The sequence below is a fragment of the Homo sapiens genome, chromosome 3 (assembly GCF_000001405.40).
Source record: "Homo sapiens chromosome 3, GRCh38.p14 Primary Assembly".
Taxonomy (NCBI): Eukaryota; Metazoa; Chordata; class Mammalia; order Primates; family Hominidae; genus Homo; species Homo sapiens.
This window is the reverse complement of record NC_000003.12, coordinates 52,131,076-52,146,022: the sequence shown is the minus strand read 5'-3', so window position 1 is coordinate 52,146,022 and position 14,947 is coordinate 52,131,076. Positions and strand designations below refer to the sequence as shown.

The 14,947-nt window shown below is 54.2% G+C and overlaps 1 protein-coding gene across 13 annotated transcripts in view, besides 1 other annotated feature; it reads left to right on the top strand.

Moving 5' to 3' along the window:
- POC1A (POC1 centriolar protein A) overlaps window positions 1–14,947 on the top strand; it is a 79,198-nt gene that overhangs the window by 8,401 nt on the left and 55,850 nt on the right. For 10 of the 13 annotated variants that reach the window (XR_007095660.1, XM_011533561.2, XM_011533560.2 and 7 more), the window contains exons 6-7: window positions 62–177; window positions 7,721–7,854. Coding sequence is in view for 12 of the 13 variants with exons in the window: in XM_011533561.2 (XP_011531863.1) it covers window positions 62–177; window positions 7,721–7,854 (250 nt within the window). In the remaining variant the exon portion in view is untranslated. The remainder of the gene's footprint in view (window positions 1–61; window positions 178–7,720; window positions 7,855–14,947) is intronic. The other 3 variants (XM_011533563.2, XM_047447909.1, XM_011533565.3) reach the window with 1 other exon arrangement.
- Window positions 10,913–10,962: an enhancer, noted in NCBI's record as "active region_19927". NCBI's record gives its function as "activates an Ori minimal core promoter by ATAC-STARR-seq in GM12878 lymphoblastoid cells {active_cell/tissue: GM12878}" and the evidence as "EXISTENCE:reporter gene assay evidence [ECO:0000049][PMID:35858748]".

Here is a 14,947-nt window from a genome sequence, read left to right as displayed (position 1 = left end):
CTGGGTCCGTCCTGAACCAGGGCAGACCTCCTATAGTGCATAGTGGCCCCTGTCTTTCCAGCTTTGTCACCTATGTGGACTTCCACCCCAGTGGGACGTGCATTGCCGCTGCCGGCATGGACAACACAGTGAAGGTGTGGGACGTGCGGACTCACCGGCTGCTGCAGCATTATCAGTGTGAGTGGTGAACAGCCTCCTGGGCCCAAGGGCAGCCCTGGTGGGACTGTGATGGTGTTGGATGTTGTCCTGTGCTGTAGTGCTTAAATGGGTCTGAGATGGCCTTGGGCAGGAAGGTGTCCTGGGTTTGTTGGGATTCCAGGGGTGGGAGTCTGTGGCATGGCTGGCCTGGCTTGGAACCTTGGCCAGGAGATGGAGCCTGGTGCTACCTGGCTTCCACTGAGCCAGTCAATGCTCACCTCCGAAGTGGCAGAATCTCACACATACTGCAGGGCCAGATGGGGAGTCCTCACTGGGGCTCTGGTCAGGGCTTCCCTTGAGGACCACTTCTCAGGGGCATGCCACTTGCCTTTCCTGGTGATGGAGGCTCTGCCCTCCAGGGCCAAGGTGACAGCCCTTGACCTGTGGTAAAGGGAACAGGGCTGTCAGTAGAGGCCAGCATTGGTGGGACCGTGGCCACCTCTGGTCTTACAGTGTCCTCCGCAGATGTAGAGTCATAGGGAGGGTTGACTTAGCTAGGGGCCAGGCCCAGGATGGTAGCCCTTGGAAGGCAGGGTGGCGGGCAGTGGGCATGGGCTCATGTCAGGCTCCAGGTGGGAGTTGGAGGGCGAGGGCAGACTTAGACATGCCCAGGATGAGTTCGCTGAGAGTACTGGGTAGGGAACTGGCCTGAGAGCAAGTATGAGTGGGCAGGGCCATGAGGCGCCCCAGTTCCAGGGATGGGCTCAGGGAAGGGAGCTGGTGAGGGGTCATTGGAGAAACTGGGAATTGTGTAGCTGGCAAAACAGAGATGAGCAAGACTGGACCAGGGCCGAGACCAGGAAGGAGGCAGAGCTGGAGTTGTTTGAAGAACCGTGGTTGTTAACCTGGGACTAAGCTTAAAGTTCTTGGGCTCGCTTCCTTAAGCCACACCTGAAATGGGAAGGACATGGCTGGACACAGGTGTGGGGTTCCGACCCCACCCACCCCTGACACACACACACCCTTCCTAGCTGACTCCTGGTGTTCAAGTACAGCACTTTCTTTGGGGTAACAGAGGTGAGCACACCTTCCCAGAATGGGGAGAAGATCCTAATCTTGAACAGCACATGGTGGAGAGTGGGCTCTGCAGCTGGCTTTTAAAGCATTCCTGGCTGTGTGATATTGGGCAGGTCATTTGACTCTGTGGGGCCTCTGGGACAATGATGGGGCCTGTCTCACAGGAGGTGTTGGGAGGTTTAATGAGTTGTTTCATATCAAGAATTGAGAGGGTGGCTGGCACAAAATGGGGGGAAGGAGGTACAATGTTAGTGATGATGACAATGACACTGTCTTGGTCCTGTCTGGGCTGGTGAGGCCAACCTGGTTGGTTAAGGCCTGTAGTACCCTACAGCACCACCAGGTGGCAGGGGCCAGCCACAAGAACCTGTTCCCCCACCCCACCCCCCTCCATAGGAAGCCCTGAGGTTTGTTACCAATGCTCTTTCAGACAGAGGCTTCTGGAACAGAAGAGCAGTGGGGCTTGCCTCCACTTGGAGCCCATATCTTTCCTATCCTTCCTTCAGCCTTCTGCTCTGGGCCAGGCCTGAGTGAAGGGCTGGGGCTTGGGGATGGGGCACATCTGCCCAGCTGCCTGGGGAACGTGGGCAGGTGCAGAGGAGGGAGGACTTGGACAGGGAGAGATGGGAGTGGAAGGCGACGAGGCAGGACAGTGGTCAGGAGCACATGCTGTGGTTCCTTTCTGTAAAGGGGGTGGCAATAGGCCTTCCTCATGGCTTTGTGAGGCTCTGATGGGAAAAGCCACAAAAGGGTTATAACACAGGGCTAGGTATGTGGTTTGTGCTACATAAGTCCTGACACTGGGCAGAGAGGATGTCTAGGTGACCCTGGGAGGGTCCAGACCCATCTCTGATGGATCAGGAGCCTGGGCCTGGTGTTCATGGGTATAACAGCAGGTACCCCTTGGGAAGGGCCTTGGATGCCATCTCTGGCTCGGGGTCCCAAAGATGTGGCCTGATTGGCAGTGCTAGGACTAGCCTCGTCATTTAAGGTATGAAGGGAAGAAGGACATCTGAGAGGATAGCGGTGTCCAGAGCCTGCTGGGGTTGGGGGCTGGTGTGCCCCATGTGTCCCAGTGATGGGTAGGTGTCCAGCTGTGCCTGGTATCAAAGTAGGGGCTGGCATCAGAGTGGGGGATGGGTTGCAGAGGTTGAGTAGAAGCAGAGAAGCTGACCCTGTTGGGGTGGAGGGGCCAGCTGGACCCAGGGATCTGGGATGTGAGAATGGCTGAGGTCACATTCTGAGCCCCTATAATTGAGGGGCCACAGAAGATAAAGGTCCACAAAGCAGCCAGAGTGAGAGGTATGAACCCCGTCTCCAAGCATGGGAGAGCTGAGGAGGGCAGAGGCTGGGGAGTGAAGGAGAGTGGGGTCTTGTGAAGAGGGTTGTCAGGAGGTGGAGCAATGCAGAGCAGCCGAGGAGAGCGGTGGGTACTGGGGAGAGGGAGCTGGGGACCTGGAGGGAGCAGGCTTGGCAGAGGGCAGGGGCGGATCTCCATGATGGCAGGGTTGGGGAGGTGTGGATGGACTCAGATGAGCTCCAGGGGCTGAGTCCTGAGTGGAGCTGAGTGTGTGGGCTGACAGGCCCTGCTGGGAGATTGCAGTCTGCTTGTGCTTCTGGCCTTGCCTCTTATGACAGCCTCTCAGTGGGCCTGCAGTGTCTCATCCCTAAGCCACCCCTAGTGTAGATTGGAGGCTTAGCAGGATTTGGAGTACCCCATAAACACAGCCGGTTCCCCCTGAGCTCCCTGCTCAATGCCGTGGCCAGTGGTGGGTGTTCACAGGATAGCGGAGTCATCCCATAGCCTCTAGGCTGACCCTTAGGGGTGCAGTGAGCCAGGTTGATCTGAGCTCCCTGGGTAGGGGGAACATACCTCTCATCCTCTGCTGACGGGAGGACATGGCCAGGTCTGCTCTGGTCTTGGGGCTCCCCAGAAAACCTTTAGCTGAAACTAGGGGGAAACCCTCTACCCAAGTGGCTCCCCCACCCCCATAGGTGCAGTGGAATCTCTTTGGAGGCTCATTCCCCAGGAAGGGCTCCCAGTACTCTGGCAACAGATGCCTGATCCGCTTTCTGTCCCTGATCCCTAGGAAACCCAAGGGAAACCTACGGACACAGTGACGTGCAGTGTCTCCCCTAGTGACTCTGGATGGGCATCAGGCACTTCCAGAATGGCCTTCGGGTGTTGGACGCTGATGGGCTCTTGTGAGAGGATTTGGTTAATGATACTGCAGTGTGTGGCTAGCAAGCCCCAGCCTGCCTGCATCCAGCCGTCCATAGTTGTGCTCTATGAGGGCACTTCCTGTTCCTGCTAGGGTTGTTGGAGTTGAAGCCCACTTGGGGCTTTGGGCTATGGAGGCAGCTGGAGCCATTTGTCTTGCGCTGGCTGACTCTCCTAGGTAAGGAGTTTCTTGGCTCTGGCCTATCACTGCAGAGAGCAGTTCTGATTTCTCAATTCAGCAAGGATTTGGGCTGGTGGAGCCCTGGGAGTGCCAATCCCTGTGGTGGTGGGTTAGCTCCATATGCTCTGAGCCCACGTTAAGACTGTTCAGGCATCTGAGCAGCAGCCCCCATCCCAGAACCTGTAATGTGCTTCGTGCCTTACAGCACGTGCAGGTCCATTATCCAGTGACAGGCCTGGGTGGCCAGCAAAGTAGGTCTACCCTCCATTTCACAGATGCGGAGCATGCAGCCCACAGTCACACAGCTAGAAAGCTATGGGTCTGAGTCTCCACCTCAGGGCCTTTGAGTCTGGCATTCTGTTGACAGGCTCACGCTCGGTTCCTTGCACTTCGGTGACTCTAGTCATTTACTCTTCAGGCTCCCTGGGAGAGGTGGTCTCTTTGGCTGGCTGTCAGCAGGGCTTAGAACTCATAGAGTCCCAAGCTCTCTGTCCGATGGTCTTTAGTGCAGCCCTGCACCCCCGCCTGGCCTGATACATTGTCATGGAGGGTTTTGTCTTTTTTTTTTTCTCTTTCAGAGATGGGGTTGGGGTCTCACTGTATTTCCCAGGCTGGTCTTGAACTCCTGAGCTCAAGCAGTCCTCCCACCTCGGCCTCCCAAAGTGCTGGGATTACAGGCGTGAGTCACCATGCCCGGCCGGAGGGTTTTAAGTAGTTGCAGCTATCAGGGCAGGCCTGTACCCTGTACTGGGTGTTTTGAGACTAAAAGGGTTGATTGGGGTACAGTGGTGCTGTCCCACCTGATCTAGCCAACCTACTCTCCCACTGTCCTGAAGTGAGCATTTACACGGCATTTACACAGAGGAGTGTTTTGGGTGTCCTTTGCTGCTGGTATCAGAGCACTTTTGTGGTATGAATCCAAAGCCTCTTGTCAACCCAGAGCCACCGTGTCACTAGTAACATCAGTTGCGCATCGCAAGAGACCACCCTGGGGAAAATGAGCGGTCCTTTTGTGGAAGGATGTTGGGATGGGGCTTGGCCCTGGCATGGTCTCCTCTAGAGAGGAACCTCCTGCTTGGGCACCCAGGCTTTCTCTGGGCCCTTGGCTGGTTTGCAGCCCGTTAGGTAGTGGGCCTAGGTTTGCCCAAGCCTCTACAGGCAGAGCAGCATGGAGTGGGTGTACTCAGGTCTCTGCTTAGACCACCTACTGCCCACAAGCCATGACTAGTTCTTGGTATTTGGGAGCAGGGGCTGTGGTGGCCTCATCCCTGGGTCCCTGAGGATCTGTAGAAGTTTGATGTTGGTGTATCTTTGACCTGGAGTCAGAGTTCTCTCTTTGGAGTGGAGATGGGATAAGAGCCACAAGCTCACAGCTGCCACCCAGGTGGCAGTATGTGTCATCACTGATATCTGCCATGGAGCCAAGAAGAGGCCTGCGGCTTTGGACTTGAAAAAAAGTGGATCATGCTCAGACATTTGGCGCTCAAGGCATCATGATAGAAGGCTCATGCCCTCATGGGACAGCCTAGCCTTCGTGGTAGACTCTCATGCAGGGGTGGTTCTTACGATGAGGCCTCCATAGACTACCCGCTCCCCACCACCTCCACAGAGGCAAGAGGAGTGAGAGTGGAGGCTGGTGCGGCCAGTAGGTGAGGCAGGAGAGCAAGTGGGGAAAGGTGGGGTGGGTCCTGGTGTCTGGGGTATCCCCCAAAGCCTGGTATGCCAGGCCAGCCCCTCTTCTGGAGTAAATGGTTCTAGGTGTTTCTATCCAGGCTTGGGTATTCCTGGCATTTATGTGGAGTGGAGATTCTGTTGCCCTTCTTCTGGGAGAGATTCTTTCCCTTGGATGGGCTTGACCAGGTGGGGGCCCCTGGTGTGGCATCCATACACTGACCCTGCCACCTTGATGGTGCTGGGAAGCCCAGAGCTCCCTGAGCATGCCCTCCCTTCTGCACCCTCCTGCCACCGGCTGTTCCTCTGGCAGCTTCTGCTCATGGAGGGGTGGAGGTGGCCTTCATCCCAGTGCAGACTTTCTGGTGGGGGGGTCTCTGAATTCTGCCTCCAAGAGCTGGCTTCAGAGACCCCACTGGTCCCTCTCCAGCCTGCCTCCTGGAGATCCTGGCGCTTGGAGGGTGTTGTTGAGATATAAATATCATGTTACGTAAAGCCTTGGCTGTTTCCCCCTAAGTGTGCCTGGGAACACGTATCCAGACTCCCCGGCACATCGGCACATCAGCTGGGCTGGCATCTGAGGGACTGCGTGCACCCTGTGGGCCTTGTTGAGGGCCGTTTCGTGTTGGGTGTGTTTACCAACCCAGTAGTGGTTCTTACAGCCTTTCAGTGCTAAGATGACGGTTGGTTTTGAATCTGCCTTTATGTTGGTGGCAATTCTGACTTGGCAGGGTCATGGTTATTTTAGCCCCACTGGTTTTCCTCATTGGGCCTCTGGTAATGGGAAGAAAGACACTGGGGTTTTCCTCAGAAGGCACCCTAGGAGGCTGTGATACAGCTGATCCATGCATTGGCTGTGGAGTTGCTCTGTCCCCACGTAGACTGCCCAGGTGTGCCCCCAGCTTCACCTAGAACATGCTCTTGACCTTGAGGGAGAGTTGTGTAACCTGCTGGGGCTTCTGGATACCCAGCTTAAGCACCTGCTCACCAACCACTTTCTGAGTCCTGCTCGGTGCCAGGGACTTACCACCCCTGCCTGATGGAGTTCATGGTCTCATGGGAGATCCAGATGTGAGTCAGATAGTTGCATGTGAATGTGAAGAGTGAACCGATGGGAGGCTTGTGCTGCTTTGGAAGGACAAATGAAGGGGGTGGCCCTAATTGGGAGGCCAGGGGAGGCTTCCTGGAGAAGGCAGCTTCCAGTAATGAGCTTTAAGGTCAGGGAAAGGGAAGGGCAAGAGTCTCCCAGGCCCATTGGAAACAAGGGGTAAAAAAGTTCTACGGCTGGGGGAATCGACAGAGCTGGGGTGGCCGGCTCTTGGAGAGTGAGGGACACCAGAAAAGATGGTGGGGTTAGCCTGAGATGGTAGGGAAAAGAGAGTCATGGACAGGGCCAAGCTGTTGAGTGGGTGAAGTGGCAGGACCTTGAGTTGCATGGAACACAGGGGGCAAAGGAGAGGAACATCCATGTTGGCATTGGATGGCTCACTCTGCAAAGACCTCATGTGCTTAACTTAGTAGCATCCGCACAGTACCTCTTACACATAGGTGCTATGGTACAGATGGAGAAACTGAGGCTCAATGTGGTTAAGATGCTTGCTCAGGATGGATGTGGTGGCTCACGGCTGTAATCTCAGCACCTTGAGAGGCCGAGGCAGGTGGATCATCTGAGGTCAGGAGTTTGAGACCAGCCTGGTTAACATGGTGAAACCCCATCTCTACTAAAAATACAAAAATCAGCTGGACGTAGTGGCACACCTGTAGTCTCAGCTACTCAGGAGGCTGAGGCAGGAGAATCTCTTGAACCCAGGAGACGGAGGCTGCAGTGAGCTGAGGTCGCACCACTGCACTCCAGTCTGGGCGACAGAGTGAGACTCTGTCTCTCAAAAAACGTCATGGGGTGAGCCCAGGCAGGAGGCTTGGGGTCCGAATGCAGGCCTGACTGCTTCCTAAGAGTGTCTTAGCTTTCTGCTCGTCTGCCCCCACACACGTCCTTCCTGTGTGGCAGTGGCATTGTATTGACATTTGAAGGGTTTTGTTTTCCATTGGTTTCTTTAAAGAAAGAGTATATCGGGCAGACCAAAGGCTATGTTTGTATGTTTGAGTACTCTATTCTGCTCCAGCTTGACCGCTTGGTGCTGTGGGAGAGGATGGAGGAATCGTCTGCTGCCTCTGGTTTTTGCATCTGTTTCTGTCCGCCTGTCTTCCACTGCCTGCCCTTGGCTCTGAACAGGCCTTTTCCTGTTCTTCGATTGTGCCCCTCTCCTGGGAAATCCTTGTTGGGTTCCCCACAGCTCTTCTGAGCAATGACCATCCTGACCCAGCCCCATCAGGCCTGTGCTGAGCCTCGATTGGCCCTGATTGCCCGTCTTGGGCTTCAGCTGTGCTCCCTGTGCCTCCTAGCCAGCACCTGACTGATGTCCTTCCCCCAGTGCACAGTGCAGCAGTGAACGGGCTCTCTTTCCACCCGTCGGGAAACTACCTGATCACAGCCTCCAGTGACTCAACCCTGAAGATCCTGGACCTGATGGAGGGCCGGCTGCTCTACACACTCCACGGGCATCAGGTGAGAGGTGTCGGCCAGGTGCTGAGTGGTGTGGAGTGGTGGTACCTTCACTGTCTGGGCAGTGGGCAAGATGCAGAAACAGGCTTGTCACCCACACAGCCTGCAGGGAGATGGATGGAGGCATTTCCATGTGACCTGGGCAGATTGCTGGGCCTGGGACTGGTGCAGCTGAGAAGGGTATATAAGAGTTGAATTGGGCAAGGGTTGGGGGCTGCATCTGGGCATGGTTAGCAAGCCGCCCCTTAGGGGCCTGAATGGAATCTGTCCCCTAATGGCCTCAGCCATCCCTTGGTCCAGAGGTTGAGTTGAGCCTTGGAACCCATGCTCTGAGTTGACATCAGGGTTTCCTGGAGGCCCTCGGACTGGCAGACATCAGTGTGTCTAGAGACTGAGGCAACCTCAGGTGTCTTGCAGAGGCTGGGACAAAGAAGGGAAGTCTTCTTCATGTTTGTCGTTTGAGAATTCCTGGAATGGAATCAAGGAAGCAAAGGCCTCCTTTCTGAATGAGCTTCAAAGCAGCCGGTTCCCTGGTCTCCCTGGGTGGGCTGGGTCCCTGGGGGCCGGCTGTGGGAAGTAGGCCACATGCAGTTCTCCCCAGGAACTGGCCTGGGTCCGGGCCTTTCACATCTAGTACTTCCACTAGGAAGTAGTGTCCGAGCCCTCCTGATCAGAGCGGTCGTCAGAATGTCTCCTGTTGGGGCGTAGTCACCATGCCCACTTGAGATGGGAGGTCTGGAGTCCATTGAATTCAAGTCTGTCTCTAATCTGCCTGCCATGCTGAGGGAGGCCCTGGGGGTGCTTATGTGTCTTGGACTATCAGCTAAGTCTGAGGTGTCTAGCCTGGTGTTTTCTGAGCTGTTGTTTGGGTTTCCACTGCCATCTGAGTTAGGGTACCTGGGGGCCATTTGGCTATGACTAGGGGATGGGGACATAGGCCTTTTCTTCTACTTCCTCAAGGTCTGGAGGCTGCTTGCTGCCCCCAGCCTTGTTGTGACCCCTTGCCTTCCCTGTCAGAGACATATCCAGTGTGCAGGACTAGTGGGCCTGTTCTCCCTGGGCCAGCACATCCAGAGGGGGTGGCTGCTGGCCCTGGTGTAAGCCTGTTCACAAGCCAAGCCCCTGGACAAGCAAGTTATACAGATTCATGTGTAACCGTTTGGGATCTTATGCCCAGGAGGGCATTTGAAAATCATGTGAATGCTGCTACCGCTCCTGCTCCCCTAAAAAAAACAAAACAAAACTCAGAAACAGTTTGAAACAGATGCCTATCAAGTGATCACCTCTTTTTGTGAGTGTTCTTTAAACAGCTAACTCACGCTTAGCCTGAAAACACTTGAATGTGGGATCTAAAATGTCATTCCCGGTGTTCTGGCATCGCATCTGGCACATAAACGAAAGCTATTGACATTGTTCTCTCCGGGAAGTGAAGCAAGGACCATGGCGCATTGCCTTGTGTGGTCACTTGTCTGCTATTAAATCTAGAGATATGGGAACCAGGCCAAGGGACAGCTGATGGTTTGGGGTGTGGATAGGGCTGGGTCATTTCTTCTTCAGGGCACCAGGCTCACAATGCCCAGAGGAAAGGAGAAGAAGAGAAACGAACCAACGACCTCTGTTCATTTTGCCATCTGTCTGTTTGTTCATTCATCATCGGCTCTCTAGCTCACGGGGCTGGGCACCAGGGATAGGAAATGGATGTTATAGCTCTACTTCCTGGGCTTCCTGGCCTGGGAAGAGGGGGACTCCACAGGGAGGCTGACAGAGCTGAAGGCAGCATGAGACGAGTTAGGCTGGCTGAGAGGTAGACTGAGTCTTAGAGAGTACTTGGAGGGCAGGTGAAGGTGGGTAGGCCCTGCCCATCTCCCAGGGTACAGCTCAGATGAAGGTGGGAGTCAGCGTGTGAGGCTCAAATTATTTTCTTCTCCCAGCCCCCTAAACTCCCTATCAAATACAGGAACTTAGGATTGATTTACCACAAGTTTTAAGGGTTCTTTGTCCTGGGATACCGACGACACCCAGCCCCTCTGTGGGGTACTCCAGGTATCCAGGTGTAGGAACCCCTGGGCCTGGCTTGCTCAGGGTTCTGCAAACTGATTCAGGAAGACAAATTGCCCAGGGTCACCCTCTTTCCCCACCTCTGCACTTACTTTAATCCTTGCTCCTTTCTAGAGGCTGATTCTCTCCCATCCCTCCTCTTTAAGACCCATGGTGAGACCAACCATGCACTCCAACTGGTGGTGGCAAGTCAATACCGGGTTCTACAGCTGGCCTGGGTTGAAAGGTCCCGATGTGGACAAACCTGGCCTGATTCCTGCGCCCCTCCCACCTGCACTGTGGGGTTGCTGCCTTGAGAGGGCTTTCTTTTGGGGTCCTTACTAATGATGTGCAGCAGCATGATTGAAGAGCCAGGCTGAGGGCTGAGGTAGGGGTGTGAGTGTGTGAGTACGTATGGGGCAGGGATGCCCAGGAGAAGGCCTTACTTACTTCCAGCAAAGACCAGCTCACCTCCATACCACAGCCTGGCACCCCTGGGACCCAGGTCTGCCAGCGTTTGCTGTGGCTCCTTGTCATGCTTAGCTCTGCCCCTGGATTTGGAGTGATTCAGAATCAGCTAATGGGCCAGGTGTGGTAGCTCACTCCTGTCATCCCAGCACTTTCGGGGGAGGCTGAAGTGGGAAGATTGCTTGAGCCTGGGAAGCTGGGGCTGCAGTGATCTGTGATTGTGCCACTGTACTCCAGCCTGGGTGACAAAGCAAGACACTGTCTCAAAACAGAAAACCCCCCAAAAAACAGATTCAGCTAATGTTGGCTTCCCAAGGGAGCATAGTGCAATCGAGGAGCCTTAATTTGGGCATTTGGTTAAGATACGGGGTCCACTGGCTGGACAGAATACCTAGTGCTTATGGAGATCTGTGGCTAGGATCAGAGGTGGCTTTGCTCCAGCTGGGGGTAGAAATCCGTAGGGGCTGGGCCTGTGTTGTCACCCAACTGGTTCCGAGGATGTTCATTACTGATGAGGGCCTGGCTGGAGGCCACATCACAGGGGCCTGCTGACAAAGGGGCTGGGTTCTGCCTGGGCACTCTGCAGCAGGTATAGAGTCCTCATGGGCTCCCACTCACTCAGACCTTCGAGGAAGATGTGCAGCTGGTTCTTTGGTGACTTCATCTTTCACATTCTGTTCTGGGAGGTGGCGATGTGGTGGGGTCCTGGTGGCCAAGGGCCTGATGGAGCGCAGCTGCTATCAGCCACTTCCTGAATTGTGTGGCTGAGCAGCCTGGGGCTCCTGAGTGGGTCTTGGGTGCCTGGGGCTTCTGTCCTATGGATAAGGAGGATGGCAGATTGGAAAGCATTTTTTTTTTTTTTTTTTGAGTCCAGGTGGTGAAAATGAGAGCAGTCTGGATTAGTAGGGGGTCTTATGACTTCTAGTGTGCCAGAGCTGGGACAAGTACCTGTGTCTATGCAGTTTCTATCACATGTACATGTGACTTTTAAAATTCTATTTGTAATTTCACTCTTGTTTCTTTCATTCATTCATTCAGAGACAGTTTCGCCCTGTCGCCCAGGCTGGAGTGCAGTGGTGCGATCTCAGCTCACTGCAACCTCCATCTCCTGGGTTCAAGCGATTCTCCTGCCTCAGCCTCCCTAGTAGCTGGGATTACAGGCACCCGCCACCACACCCGGCTAATTTTTGTATTTTTAGTAGAGACGGGGTTTCACCGTGTTGGCCAGGCTGGTCTCAAACTCCTGACCTCAGGTGATCCACCTGCCTCAGCCTCCCAAAGTGCTGGAATTAGAGGCCTGAGCCACTGCATCCAGCCTTCTTGTTTTTATTTACTTATTTATCTTTACTGGGGTAACATATGTGTATAATTCACCATCTTTACCATTTTTAAATGTACAGTTCAGTGGTAATAAATACATTTATATTCTCTTTTTTTTAACCCCTTCATTCCCTGGCTCCCCTTCCCCATCCCAGCCCTGGTAACCACCACTCTACTCCATCTTCATGAGATCCATGTAACTCCCACGGATGTCACTCTTGTGTTTAGCTCACAGGTCTAGGTAGGGTACCAGCAGGCTTATGTCGGCTTGTGTCCCCATCTTGCTGCTACATGACCCCATTCTGATCCAACAGAAGGGAGCCCCATGAAACTTTGGTTTGGACGCAGGGGACCTGCTGTGTCCTCAGAGATGGCTTGGGAGAGCTGCGAGAGAGAGGGCTACTGCATCTTAGGGCCAGTGGGACAGCTTCCATTTCTGCATCTGAGAAGTGGACAGTGCAGGCTGGGGGTGAGCAGCAGTGAGGTCAGCCACAGGGAGCTGCTGTGGGATGAGGCAGACCTTGACCTGGGCATGGGGGCTCTGCGGGTGCCAGGAGAAGGGCCCCAGCAAGCCCTCTGGGGAAACCGTGGGGGAGGTTTGGGGTAGAAAAAGGAGGGTCAGGGTGCAGTGCTGTTGGGCTGCAACTCTATTGTCTGAGTTGAGGCCAAACTCACCCTGATTTACCTTTCAGTTGTCTCCTAAGGTACAAGGAGCGCCAGGACAGAGGGACTTGCCAAGTGCCAGCTAAGATGAGTATCACCCAGTGTAGCCCTGGGTCTCCTGGGCTGGACCTGTGTGCTGGTGTTGAGGGCAGGTTATCAGCCAGGAGTCAGCGTGCGGGTGGTTTGGTAGCTCTCTGGCACATGAGTGGCACACATCGGCCCATTTGAGAGGCCTTTTGTTTGCGCAGGCTCATTTTGTGAGAGTAAGGGGTTATCTTAGTCTGTTCTGTGCTGTTGTAATAAAATACCGGAGACTGGGTAACTTATCAAGAACAGAAAGTTATTTCTCAGTTCCAGATGCTGGAAGTCCCAGATCAAGGTACTAGCGTTGGGGAAGGCTGCCCTCTGCTTCCGAGATGGGGCTTGAATGCTGCATCCTCTGAGGGGAGTAACACTGTCCTCACATGCAGAAGGTGGAAGGGCGGAAAGGACCAAACTCCCTTTGTCAAGCCCTTTCATAAGTGCACCTAATCCCCTTCATGAGGGCGGAGCCCTTGTGACTCAATCACTTCCCAAAGGCCACACCTCCCAACACTGTTACCTTGGGGATTCAATTTCTTTCTTTCTTTTTTTTTTTTGAGATGGAGTCTCACTCTGTTGCCCAGGCTGGAGTGCAGTGGCGTGAACTCGGCTCACTGCAACCTCCGTCTCCCAGGTTCAAACAATCCTCCCACCTCAGCCTCCCGAGTAGTTGGGATTACACGTGCACGCCACCATGCCCGGCTAATTTTTTGCGTTTTTAGTAGAGACAGGGTTTCACCATGTTGGCCAGGCTGGTCTCGAACTCCTGACCTCAAGTGATCTGCCTTCCTTGGTCTCCCAAAGTGCTGGGATTACAGGCGTGAGCCACCACGCCTGGCTGGGGATTCAATTTCAGTATCAATTTTGTTGGGGACAAAAACATTCACACCATAGCAGGGGTGGATGTTGGTTACAAGTTTATTGTGGCCCTGAAGAATTCTGGTGCTTCTCTCCTGCAGTCCTGGCTTGGGGACTCTGGGTGATAAAGGGCCCTCTGCCTCTCAAATCTGCCCATCCTGAGAGGAGAGTGGACAGATGTGGGAGGTGCTGCCTGCAGGTTATGGTGCATTGCCCTCCTTCCACAGCCTTTGCCCTGGGAACACCAGAGCCTGTATGGGTCACCTTTGCAAACATCTTTGATTGAGGCCAAGTGCTGGGATATGTTCAGCTGGGGAGGTTACACAGCCTTGTCTGGTGGGGGATGATACTTAGCTTTCTCAGGAAAACCCCAGTATTTTTAGGAACAAACAGTTTGTACCCACCCATTTCTGGTTTTGAAAAACCATGGGTCCTCTCCCATCTTGTTCATCTGAAACAGCCTGAGCTTCAGGAGGGGAGGAGGAATGGGCTTGGGCACTGGGTCAGATGATTCCAGTGTTGCCTCTTTTTATGTGACATTGGGCAAGACCTTGACTTTGCTGAGTCTCTTTTCTTATCTGTGAGACTGACATCCCATTGTCTGCCTCATGGTAGGAGAGGATGTGTCTAAATTTCCCAGCACCGGACACAGTAGGTCCTCATAGATATTAATCCCTTTCCACTTGAGCTCATGGAAAATGATGTCATGCCGTTTTAGGTGAGAGCTCTTTAAAAGGGCATTAGAAGTTTCTGTTGTGGACATGGTCCTGGTGATGCTGAGTGGGTGGGCAGTCCATTTGTTAGAAAAACGGGTCCATGGGGGTGTCTGGTGCCTTAGCCACCCCATTTCTGGCATGGGGCTGTGGCCTCTGCCCCAGGGTTGGAGGCGCGCGTTTCCTCTCCTGTGCACCTTCGGAATCTCTCAGGGGTTCATCTGCCTTTTACTTTTGCTTAGGGTTGTTGTCTCCCCCAGAACATTTTGCTTTGGCTTCTCTTGTCACACAGCTCATGGAATCTGTCCCCTGGTTGGGGGCTGGGGAGACTCCCCGACCCAGACTCGTGTCCCCACCAGCTGCCCTCGTGGGTTTGCTTTGCCGGGTGCCTTGGTGTACATGTCCATGTGCACTGCCCTTTGTCAGGCCTGTCCTTCCAGTCATCTCAAGGGCCTGACTCCTGGAGGATGGCTGGTGGATCAGGAGACCCGCGTGGTGGCACTGGTGCCAGTGCCCTATTTGAGGCTCTGGAAAGTCTTGGTCAGGGGGTGTGACACAACTGTGACGTTAAGCAGGAGGAAAGGGAGTCCCTGCCTCTCACTGGATGTCATACAGACTTGGGTTGTCAGAGCTGCAATGGAGGCTCATGATCCCATCTCACCCCCTCATTTTATAGAAGGGAACACTGGTCAGGAGAGGGAAGGGCTTCCCTACCAACTACCACGGTTGTTCAGAGCCTCAGGCCCCGTGTGAGGCCCTCACAGCCCCATGTGTGGCAAGCGTGGGGGGCAGTGTGCTAGAAATACAGATTTATCTTTCTGTATTTTCTGAAACATAATCTTGAGCCACACTTACTTGGTTTAAGTTCTCTAGAGCTATTTGGGAGAGGATGGTGGGCGGGTTGTGGGTGGGGAGTTAAATCTGGTATTTGTGGCTGTGCAGTTGGTGTGCATGTC